This window comes from Homo sapiens, chromosome 4 (assembly GCF_000001405.40).
Source record: "Homo sapiens chromosome 4, GRCh38.p14 Primary Assembly".
Lineage (NCBI taxonomy): Eukaryota > Metazoa > Chordata > Mammalia > Primates > Hominidae > Homo > Homo sapiens.
This window is the reverse complement of record NC_000004.12, coordinates 6,615,621-6,627,660: the sequence shown is the minus strand read 5'-3', so window position 1 is coordinate 6,627,660 and position 12,040 is coordinate 6,615,621. Positions and strand designations below refer to the sequence as shown.

Here is a 12,040-nt window from a genome sequence, read left to right as displayed (position 1 = left end):
GATCTCGGCTCACTGCAAGTTCCGCCTCCCGGGTTCACACCATTCTCCTGCCTCAGCCTCCCGAGTAGCTGGGACTACAGGTGCCCGCCACCACACCCGGCTAATTTTTTGTATTTTTAGTAGAGACGGGGTTTCACCGTGTTAGCCAGGATGGTCTCGATCTCCTGACCTCGTGATCCGCCCACCTTAGCCTCCCAAAGTGCTGGAATTACAGGCATGAGCCACGGCGCCCGGCCTTTTTTTTTTTTTTTTTTTTTTTTTTTTTTAGTAGAGATGGGGTTTCACCATGTTGGCCCAGGCTGGTCTTAAACTCCTGACCTCCCTCAAGTGATCTGCCCACCTTGGCCTCCCAAAGTGCTAGGATTACAGGCGTGAGCCACCACGCCTGGCCAAACATCATTTTCTAGCTTACATACCTAGAACAGAATTGCTGGGTCTAGAGCATGAGTATCTTTAACTTTAGAAGATAACATGGAACTAGTTTCTTAAGTTTGCTCCTTCTGTTTACTCTCACATTAGAAGTCTGAGAGAGTTTCCATGATTGTCCACTAAAAAATTGCCCATATTTTTAATCTTTTAAATAGAAAACACGGCAGATGTGAAACAGTGTCTTATTGTGGTTTTCATTTGCACAGACCTGAATGCTAAGGAGGCTGACCATCTTTTCACGCCTGTATTGACCGCTGGGGTTTCAGCTGGGGGCTGTCTGCGTACGATGCGAGGGAGGGTGAAGTTTCTTTTTGTTCCAAGTGAGGGGGAGTTGTCACAGCACCTCTGCCATGCAACATTCTTCCTCACCATGTGGCACCCCATCTCGCTCTTTTTTTTTTTTGAGACCGAGTTTCGCTCTTGTTGCCCAGGCTAGAGTGCAGTGGCGCGATCTTGGCTCATCGCAACCTCCGCCTCCCGGGTTCAAGCGATTCTCCTGCCTCAGCCTTCCTGAGTAGCTAGGATTACAGGCATGCACCACCACACCTGGCTAATTTTGTATTTTTAGTAGAGACGGGGTTTCTCCGTGTTGGTCAGGCTAGTCCCGAACTCCCGACCTCAGATGATCCACCCGCTTCGACCTCCCAAAGTGCTGGGATTACAGGCGTGAGCCACCGCGCCCGGCCCCATCTCTCTTCTATCAGCTTCCGTGTGCGCGGTCCAGCTTCTGAGCTCTTTGTTTGCTCTGGTCTGAATGTTTTTGTCCCCCTAAATTCATATACCGAACCCTAATCCCCCAGTTGATGGTATTAGGAGGTGGGGATGTTGGGAGGTGATTAGGTTATGGGGATTAGTGTAACTGAACTCGGGTTCAGGCCACTCACTCGCCGACATTCGAGAGACAAGTTTTGGTAAAAGGAAAGGTAGCTTTATTCGAGAAGCCAGCAGCTTGGGAGGTGGGGGCAGGGGCACTGAACTCTTGTGTTCAAAGATCACCTCTCCAAGTTGTGTCTCCAGATGCACGTTTTTAAGGGAAATCTGGGGAAGTGCGAATGATGATCAAAGCATTCTTGTGGAACAGCAGCTATGTGCGCAGTCTCAGGCAGGTAGTTACGATTGCTGTCTTGCGGGGATGTCATGTGACCTTTTGCAAGTGCAGCTATTTTTTTTTTTTTTTTTTTTTTTTTTTTTTTTGGAACAGGGTTTCATTCTGTTGCCCAGGCTGGAGTGCAGTAGCATGATCACGGCTTACTGTAGCCTTGACCTCCCCAGGTTCAGGTGATCCTCCCACCTCACCCTCTACAGTAGCTGGGACTAAAGGCACGCACCATCACACCTGGCTAATTTTAAAATTTTTTTTAGAGATTGGGTTTTACCAAGTTGCCCAGGCTGGTCTCCAACTCCTGGGCTCAAATGATCTCTCCCCCTCAGCCTCCCAAAGTGCTGGCTGCACCAGGCCAGCCAGATTAGTCTTAGTTTTGCTTTTTTTTTGGACAGTCTCACTCTGTTGCCCAGGCATGGCTCATTGCAGCCTTGACTTCACTGGCTCAGGGGATCCTTCCACCTCAGCCTCCTGAGTAGCTGGGACTACAGGCGTGTGCCACACCTACTTAAATTTTGTTACTATTTATAGAGACGGGGTCTCCCTATTTTGCCCAGGCTGGTCTCAAACTTTTGGACTTACGTGATCCTCCTGCCTCGACCTCAGCCCAACTATTCTCATCTGGTGGGTGGAAACCTGCGGCTAGCCGCTTCCAGGATTGCTGGTCAGTGCACTTCTCTCTTATCTCTGCTGAAGGTCCTCTTTCCCTGAGGCTGTTTTTAATGAATAGTGTGTAAGCGTAAGCAAAGCTGTAATTATACTCAAGCAAACACAATTTTTCTTTAAGGTAGACTCAGTACTGTTATATTAGCACCCTCCTAGAAACCGAGCCCAGAGAGCTGCCTTGCCCCTTCTGCCATGTGAGGACGGAGCAAGACGGCACCATCTATAGACCAGGAAACAGCCCCTCCCCAGACACCGAATCTGCTGGCACCTTGGACTCCCAGCATCCAGAATTGGGAGAAATAAATTCCTGTTGTTGATAAGCCACTCAGTGTATGGTATTCTTTTTTTTTTTTGAGACGGAGTCTCGCTCTGTCACCCAGGCTGGAGTGCAGTGGCACAATCTCGGTTCACTGCAAGCTCCGCCTCCCGGGTTCCCGCCATTCTTCTGCCTCAGCCTCCCGAGTAGCTGGGACTACAGGCCGCCCGCCACCACGCCCGGCTAATTTTTTGTATTTTTAGTAGAGACGGGGTTTCACTGTGGTCTCGATCTCCTGACCTTGTGATCCGCCCACCTTGGCCTCCCAAAGTGTACGGGATTCTATGACAGCAGCCCAAACGGACGAAGATGTGCACTTGTGTGTGTGTGTGTGTGTGTGTTTTTTTTTTTTTGAGACAGAGTTTCGCTCTTGTCGCCCAGGCTGGAGCGCAGTGGCACGATCTCGGCTCACCGCAATCTCCGCCTTCTGGGTTCAAGAGATTCTCCTGCCTCAGCCTCCCGGGTAGCTGGGATTACAGGTGCCCACCACCATGCCCGGCTAATTTTGTATGTTTAGTAGAGACGGGGTTTCTCCATGTTGGTCAGGCTGGTCTCGAACTCCTGACCTTAGGTGATCAGCCCGCCTCGGCCTCCCAAAGTGCTGGGATTACAGTCGTCTGCCACTAAGCCTGGCTAATTTTTGTATTTTTTTAGAGAGGGGGTTTCACTATGTTGGCCAGCCTGGTCTCGAACTCCTGGCCTCTAGTGATCCACCCACCTTGGCCTCCCAAAGTGCTGGGATTACAGGCACGAACCACTGTACCTAGCCCCAGTGCACTTCAGAATCATCCTGTCAAGTTCCGCAATAAACCTGTTGGGGATTGTCAGTGAGCAACGTAGTTTATTGGGAGTTTGGTGGTGGTGGTTTGTAAAAAAAAAAAAAAAAAAAAAAAAAAAACAAACAACAACAACAAAAAACAGGCCATTCACAGTGGCTTGAGCCTGTAATCCCAGCACTTTGGGAGGCCTAGGTGGGAGGATCGCTTGAGCTCAGGAGTTCAAGACCAGCTTGGGCAACATAGTGAGACTGCGTCTCCACAAACATTTTAAAAATTAGTTGGGTGTAGTGACTCATGCTTGTAGTCCCAGCTACTCAGGAGGGTGGGATGGGAGGACTACTTGAGCCCAGGAGTTAAGAGGTTCCAGTGAGCTATGATAGTGCCACTGCACTCCCACCTGGGTGACAGAGCGAGACCCTGTGTCTAAAAAAGTAAAATGAAATGAAATAACAACAAAGCAACAAATGGATGTTAGATTTTAGCCAATATTCTGTCTATTGTGGGTGGGTTTTCCCCTGTCATCTATATTCTTCTCACTCTTCCCAGTTGAGGGTGCTGGGTGCTGGAGGGACCGCAGGGGGAAGTGGCTCTCTTGCTGTTTCTGTTCTGGACGGGGATGGTCAGCATGGGTGATGGTACTTTCAGTGCACATGATTTTTCTACAGCCTGGCTGCGCTGGGGATAACATTTCCATAGTCTTCTTTATTTTTTTCTGAGACAGGGTCTTGCTCTATTACCCCGGTTGGAGTTAGTGGCATGATCATGGCTCACTGAAGCCTCGACCTCCTGGGCTCAAGTGAGCCTCCCACCTCAGCCCCCAGAGTAGCTGGGACCACTGGTGCACACCACCACGCTCGTCTAAAGAATAGTTTTTGTAGAGATGGGGTCTCACTATATTGCCGAGGCTGGTCTGGAACACCTGGGCTCAAGCGATCCTTCTGCCTAGGGCTCCCAGCGTGTTGGAATTTCAGGCATGAACCACCACGCCTGGCCTCCGTAGTCTTCCTTTTTTTTTTTTTTTTGAGACGGAGTCTCACTCTTGTCACCCAGGCTGGAGTGCAGAGGCGGAGGTCTCCTCCGCCTCCCAGGTTCAAGTGATTGATTCTCCTGCCTCAGCCTCCCGAGTAGCTGGGACTACAGGCGCACACCACCACACCCGGTTAACTTTGTATTTTTAGTAGAGATGGGGTTTCACCATGTTGGCCAGCCTGGTCTTGAACTACTGACCACCAGTGATCCGGTTGCTTTGGCCTCCCAAAGTGCTGGGATTAAGGCATGAACCACTGCCCAGCCTCCATAGTCTTCTTGACACAGAAACCAAGCCTCATGCAGCCCACATGCTCTAAAGGGCTCCTGCCTCACTCCTTGTGCCTCAACCTCCCACTGCACATCCATGCCTCTGGTGGCTGCTCACCTGACCCCACCTCACAGGGGTGGCCTATTGCTTGGTCAGCAACTCCAGCCCAGCTCCTGCCTGGCCAAACCAGAGACTGTCTTTGCTGTCTGGTGGCCAAACTGCACGTTGTCCAGAGGTCTGACTCCTTCCAAGCTGGTCCTTTCTGGGTACTTTCCTTCAGCCCTAGAGTACCAAATAATTTCCTACATCTTACAGTTTACTCTTTAAAACGGTTTAGGCCGGGCACATTGGCTCACGCCTGTAATCCTGGCACTTTGGGAGGCCGGGGCAGGCAGATCACCTGAGGTCAGGAGTTCCAGATCAGCCTGGCCAACATGGTGAATCCCCGTCTCTACTAAAAATACAAAAATTAGCTGACGCAGTGGTGCATCTCTAGTAGCAGCTACTCGGGAGGCAGAGGCTGGAGAATTGCTTGAACCCAGGAGGTGCAGGTCGCAGTGAGCTGAGATCTTGACACTGCACTCCAGCCTGGGCGACAGAGTGAGACTCTGTCTCGGGAAAAAAAAAAAAAAGTTTTAAAATTGAGATATAATTCACAGACCATAAAATTCATCTTCCAAAGTTTTTAATTCATTGGTTTCTAGTATATTCACAAAGTTGTGCAACCATCATTCCACAATTTCATCATCTTCCAAAGAAAGCCCGTCCCTGTTAGCTGTCATGCCTCTTCTCTCTTCCTCCAGTACCTGGCAACCACCAATGTGCTTTGTCTCTGATACACAGATTTGCCTATTCTGGACATTTCACATAAACTCGTGATTGGCTTCTTTCACTTAGCGTAATATTTGTAGGATTCACTCAGGCTGTGGCATGCGTCAGAATTTCCTTCCTTTTTATGGCCAAATAATATTCCATTGTATGGACAGAACACACTTCATGTCTTAATTCATCTGTGGATGGACATTTGGGTTGTTGCTACCGTTTGACTTTTGAGTAATGCTGCTATGAACGCGGGAGCACAGGTATTGTGTGGATGGATGTTTTCAATTCTCTTGGGCATAGACCTGGGAAGGTTATACTTTTATTGATATTAATAGTTCTGATATTGGACATCCCTGCTGTGTGGTTTCACCTCTCATGGACTCTGACGGCTGCTGTGCCTTCTCTGCTCGGCAGGCGGTGCCCTGAGGCACAGGTGGGCGTCTGGGGCTGGAACTCTCGCTAGGCGCTACAACTTCCTCTCCTGCCCTGTGGCAGAGCCAAGCCCCTTGCAGGGCTGTTGCCAGCATGGGATGAGTCTATGAAAACACGTGGCACGCAGTAGGTCCACAGTTACCACTGGCAGCCTGGCAAGCCTGGCAGGGCCCGGACGGCAGATGCGCTTCGGTGCTGCTGTGAGTCTTGTGCTCTGCCTTAGGCAGAAAGTCCTGGGTTTGTGTTTTGTGAATGAATGACGCATGAGTGTGCCAAATATCCTTTACGTGACAGAAGAGGAGAGGGCTGGCTTGATTGAGTGTGGGGGGGAAGAACCTGGATCTTGTAATGTAATTTTTGTTTAAAAAAATTAGGGAAAAACCCCAAATATGACCATTTCCTGCCATTAGCCTGCAGATGAGCAGCTGACTCCCCAGTCCCATCCCTCCGCACTGCTTTTCCCTGTCCTGGGTCTGTTCTGTTACATGGAGTTCCTGGGGGAAGCCCTGGGGCCGGGGCATCTGCCCAGGGCTCACTGCTGTTGAAAGTGAATAAAGAACGTCCGGATTTCCTTTGGGTGGACGGTGATGATGGGGCCTCCTGGTGGCCTCGAGGGAGAGGTGGTGTCACCTAGGGGAACAGAGGTGATCTGTCCAGTGTGGCCTGGGATGCCTCCTCCCAGCCTCCCTCTCACCCCCTGCACCTGTCTACAGTCTGCTGTGGCTCCCAGCCTCCCTCTCACCCTCCTGCACCTGTCTACAATCTGCTGTGGCTCCCAGCCTCCTTCTCACCACACTGCACCTGGCTACAGTCTGCTGTGGCTCCCACCGTGGCAACGGCCTATGGCATCCCCTTCTGCCAGGACTCCTGTGGGCCTCTTGGCGTTTCTGCCCACCCTGAGGGCAATTCATAGGTTGGTCCTGGCCCTAGTGGCCTCAATTCCTCATGGGTGTTGCCCTCAAAGCCCAAGAGCTTTCTGAGACCATCTGGTGAGTCTGCCCTTGCCTCACCAGGCTCCCCTGAAGGCATGCCCTGGGGTTGGGCTTCGATCTTGGGAGGGAGCCGTCCACTTATCTATCACTCATCCATCTTCCTTCCTTCTTTCCAACCAACATCATCTTCCCTCCCTCCCTCCCTCCGTCCCTTCCTTCCTCCCACCACCAACTGAGCGTGCACCATGCACCCGCCACCATGCTGTGTGTAGTGGACAACGAGCTGCACAGGACAGAAGAAACCCCTGGGGCCAGGAGAGTGGAGGAGGCACTTGGCCTGGTTGGTGACTCTGGGGAGGCATCCTGGGGAGCTTGAGCAGGTGCTGGCCAGAGTGAATGGGACCTGTGCGTCCCAGGCAGAGGGCATGGTGCGGACAGGGAGTGGAGCCTGGAAGCTGCCTGTAGTGCAGGAGCTCACGGTGGCACATGTCGTATGAGGCAGGGACCGGCTGATGGGCTGAGGTCAGCAGGGCCAAGGTGGGCAGAAGCCCCTGGGCCCCTAGCTGTCACCCAGGGCACAGGCAGGGCGTGTGGTCTGCGTGTGCACACGTACAAGTGCACACACACGCCTGTGTGGAGCCCTGGCAGGCAGAGACTAACCCAAAGCCTTTCTTAACCGACTGTAGTAGATTTGGGAGGGCTGCGGGTTCAGAGTAGGAAAGCAGCCTCGCAAGGTCGCACAGGCCGGGACAGGCAGATGGTTGGATGTGCACCGGGTCTGACCAGCTGCTGAGCCTGGCTGGGAGTCCTGGGTAGGGAGCTGAAGCGGGGGTCCCCAAACCTCTGTGGCGGCCAGGCCCCGTCCTCCAGCTCCAGCGGTGCAGCATGCTCAAATCCCAGGTCCCTGTGAGCGAGCGCTCCTCCACTGCCACCACGGACCCCAGCGCCTGCAGCACAGCCTGCAGGGAGAGGAGCAGAGGGAGAGTGAGCTGCACCAAGTTCCAGAGCTGAGCAGAGAACCAAGACAGCAGCAGGGCAGACACACCACGAACTCGGTGTCCTCAGGAGCCCAGGTCCTCCCCTGGTGCCTGACACAGCTCCCTCATCTGCTTCTCACAGCACATCTGCGAGGACAGGACTGGCCGTGTACTTTACAGATGAGGACACTGAAGCGGGAGGTGCATGCTTTACCAGGTGGCCGAGCTGGAGGAGCAGCCCGGGAGGTGTGGCATTTTGAGCTGCCCACCCCACCGCGGAGTTCTCCTCTCCCCACATTGCTCAGGTGGCCCCGTGCCCAGTCCAGGGAGGAAGCCAGCCACAGTTACCCCATCCCCCTTTCCCAATAGGCCTTGTCCCAGCCTCCCTTACACCTAGGGGAGGCAGGAGGCCCTTAGGGGTCTGGAAAAGTCTGTGGAGCAGGAGGGCTGGGGGTGGCTCTTGGAGAAGCTTCTGTGTGCTGACGGAGGGAGAGAGCCACGCTAGGGCAAGGCCTTTCTGGCCACTACTGCTGAGCCCTACCCTGCCTTGAAATTTGCTCATGAGGGAGGCCTGTGCCATCTTGTGACCGCAAACAAGCAGACGGCAAAAGACAAAAGCCAGTCTGCCGGCGATGGCGGGAAGATGACAGTGATCGGGCCCACGGTGACAGCGCTTGGGGTCCATCGGACATGCCTGTTCGGTGAGAAAACACTCTGTCCTCTGTTCTAAGCACATCTGTTAGGTGTTTTGTGACTTGCAGCCAAACTCACTGCGTTCCTAACTCAATGGTCTTTCCACCCCACCACCGTCCACGTTGGGCAGGGAGTCATGGTGTCCATCCCAACCGTCTCCTTGTCTCAGGGCCTTGGTGCTTCCATCTGTGAAACGGGGGAGCATCAGATGACCAACTTCCAGGTCCCACGCTGGCCTCCTTGCTTCCCAGGGCAGGCTGGCCCTGTGCTGGGCACTGGTACCCGCCATGGCCTAGACCTGCTCTCAGGCAGGCCAGGGACCGTGAGGAAAGGATCCTCCGTGGCGAGGATCATGAAAGAGGAGGTGGGTGGCCCAGTAAGACATCATGGCGAAAAGGTACTGGGGCTTCTCTGGATTCCCCTGAAGACTCAGATGTCGAAGGAGGCCCAAGGCAGAAACACAGAGATTCACAGAAATTCTCCATGAGCAGGAAATGAAATAGAAAGAATGCAAACTGGGAAAGAAATGAGGCGGCTCAGGTCATGCCTTCTGGGGAGGGAGCGTGGGCAGGCCAGGTGGCGGAAGCCTCGCCTGATAGTAGAGCTGAGAGGGCAACATCAGCCAAGAGGGGAACCTGGAAGGGGACGAGGCCTGGGGGCCCTGACACTGCACGAGGCCCCTTAGTGCCAGGGCCTCTCAGCAACCTTCTGGGCAAAGAACTCTCACCTCTCCCCATTTTACATGGGGGGAAACTGAGGCCCAGAGGCATGGGGTGCCGGAGATGCCCCCGTAGAGGGGCCTGGGTGTGGACCCTGGATTGTCTGACTCTAAGTCACCTTTCAAAGCAACTCTATGGGGAATCTGTTTTGTTTTTGGATTACACAGATGTTGTCTGTGTTTTAAAAGTTTTACCACAGAATAAATAAGAAAGAAAATACAGGCCACTCACGCCTGTAATCCCAGCACTTCAGGAGGCTAAGACAGGCAGATTGCTTGAGGCCAGACGTTCGAGACCAGCCTGAGCAACACAGCAAGACCGTGTCTCTACTAAAAATAAAAAAACTAGGCCAGGCTTGGTGGCTCACGCCTGTAATCCCAGCACTTTGCGAGGCCGAGGCAGGTGGATCACCTGAAGTCAGGGGTTCGTGACCAGCCTGACCAACATGGAGAAACCCTGTCTCTACTAAAAGTACAAAAAAATTAGCCGGGCGTGGTGGCACATGCCTGTAATCCCAGCTACTCGGGAGGCTGAGGCAGGAGAATCACTTGAACCTGGGAGATGGAGGTTGCAGCCAGCTGAGAGCGCACCATTGCACTCCAGCCTGGGGGACGAGAGCGAAACTCGGTCTCAAAAAAAAAAAAAAAAACTTAGCCATCGTGGTGGCGCGCCCCTGTGATCCCAGTTACTTGGGAGGTTGAGGTGGGAGGATCACTTGAGCCAGGGAGGCAGAGGTTGCAGTGAGCTGAGATTGTGCCACTGCACCCCAGACTGGGCAACAGAGTGAGATCCTGTCTCACATATACACAAAAAACCCTAAAAAACCAGGCCAGTTGTAATACCTGACAAACCCAGAAGACCATGAAGAAGGGCGGGGTGGGGCCCATACCAGCGTCCATTTGGGAGGAAGCCCTCGTGGATCTCTTTGCCAAGGCAGTTTCTTGGGGCTTCATCTAGGGTTTGCTTCCCTGGCTTATGGTCTGGATGGGGGTGGGGAAGTTCACCTCCAGATTCACTGTCACTGGCTGAGACAGGACTGGGTCCTCGCCCACTTCATATAGGTGGTAGAGCCGCAGCAGGACACGGCGGAGGTCAGCCTGGGCTTCCCCTCGATGGCCTTTGGGGACAGAAGGAAGGTGGCAGTGAAGACCCTCATCAACCAACCCCAATGTCCCTGGTCTATACCCGCTGCTTTACACACTCAGCTCCATTTCCTATCTGTAACCTCCTCGATATGGTTTGGCTGTGTCCCCAACCAAATCTCATCGTGAATTGTAGCTCCCATAATGTCCACATGTTGTGGGAGGGACCTGGTGGGAGGTAATTGAATCATGGGGGTGAGTCTTTCCTGTGCTGTTCTTGTGATAGTGAATAAGTCTCATGAGACCTGATGATTTTGTAAAGGGCAGTTCCCCTGCACACGCTCTCTTGCCTGCCACCATGTAAGACGTGACTTTGCTCCTCATTTGCCTTCTGCCATGATTGTGAGGCCTCCCTATCCAGGTGGAACTGTGAGTCCATTAAACCTTTTTTCTTCATAAACTACCCAGTCTCGGGTATGTCTTTATGAGCAGCATGAGAACAGACTAATAGACTCCATGTGAGACAGCTGACATGGCCCCCACTCGACAAGGAAACCAAGGCTCAGAGAGGGGCAGTCACGTGCCCAAGGCATACAGCTGGTGCGCGGCAGAGGGAGGATTCCCACCCAGGTCTGGCCGACTGTAAGGCTGCCCACCATGACACCAGCTGCAATGTTTCCATCCTCGTCCACTGTTGTGGGCATATTGGGGCATGTCCTCAAATACTCCAGTCTCTCCTACCCTGCCCCCTTTGAAGTCAGGGGAGGCTGCGTGGCCTCTGTGGCCAATGCAAAGTGAGCTGAAGTGACGCAGTACTTCCCGGCAGAAGCTTTTTCTTGCCATGGTGAGTGAGGAAGCACGTGCTGCAATACAAACTCCATCAGCGGGGGGCGTGGTGGCCACAGCAAGAAAAACCTTCCTGCTAACCCCACTGGATGCACAGCATGGGGGAGAAATGAATATATACTGTTAAGACCGTGGGCATTCGGGGCTCTTTGTTACTGCAGCATACGCCAGCCACCCTGACTGATATAATGCTGTCATTTGCCACATGATGTATGTGATCTCCTGTCCCATCCCTGATCTTCCCACTCAGAAAGGCTCATTGCCATTGCTCCCGTTTTACAGATGGGAAGACCGAGGCTCAGAGGAAAGCACTGAGTTCAAGGTCCTGGAGAGAGGACCTGGTTAACACAGGTGCTTCCTAAACCCTGGCTGGTAGAACCTCAGCTCTGCAGCTATGCCTCAAAGCTGACTAAATCAATCTGTCTGGGATTAGAATTGAGGCATCAGTATTAAAAAAAAAATTTTGGCAGGGTGTGGTGGCTCACACCTGTAATCGCAGCACTTTGGGAGGCCAAGGAGGGCGGATTGCCTGCTGTCAGGAGTTTGAGACCAGCCTGGTCAGCACAGTGAAACCCTGTCTCTATTAAAAATACAAAAATTAGCTGGGCATGGTGGTGGGCACCTGTAATCCCAGCTACTCGGGAGGCTGAGGTAGGAGAATTGCTTGAACCTGGGTGGTGGAGGTTGCAGTGAGCCAAGATCACACCACTGCACTCCAGCCTGGGCAACAGATTGAGACTCTGTCTCAAAGAAAAAAAAAATTTTTTTAGAGACAGGGTCTTGCTCTGTTGCCCAGGCTGGAGTGCTGTAGCATGATTACAGCTCACTGCAGCCTTGAACTCCTGGCCTCAAGTGATCCTTTCACCTCAGCCTCCTGAGTAGCTGGGACCACAGGCAAGCATCACCACACCCGCCTAATTTTTTAATTTTTTTTTGTAGAGACAGAGT

At 52.8% G+C, this 12,040-nt stretch overlaps 1 protein-coding gene across 2 annotated transcripts in view, besides 1 other annotated feature; it reads right to left on the bottom strand.

The window, feature by feature from the left end:
* Positions 1-4,298: 4,298 nt before the first annotated feature.
* Positions 4,299-12,040, bottom strand: part of MAN2B2 (mannosidase alpha class 2B member 2) — a 48,174-nt gene continuing 40,432 nt past the window's right edge. For both annotated transcript variants that reach the window (NM_015274.3, NM_001292038.2), the window contains exons 17-19: positions 10,169-10,281; positions 7,617-7,734; positions 4,299-6,473 (exon numbers count right to left, since the gene is read on the bottom strand). In NM_015274.3, the coding sequence (NP_056089.1) occupies positions 6,376-6,473; positions 7,617-7,734; positions 10,169-10,281 (329 nt within the window). In that variant the 3' untranslated portion in view covers positions 4,299-6,375. The remainder of the gene's footprint in view (positions 6,474-7,616; positions 7,735-10,168; positions 10,282-12,040) is intronic.
* Positions 5,018-5,211: a silencer, noted in NCBI's record as "fragment chr4:6624177-6624370 (GRCh37/hg19 assembly coordinates)". NCBI's record gives its function as "represses an EF-1alpha promoter that drives an FKBP-Casp9 reporter gene in an ReSE screen in HepG2 liver carcinoma cells {active_cell/tissue: HepG2}" and the evidence as "EXISTENCE:reporter gene assay evidence [ECO:0000049][PMID:32094911]".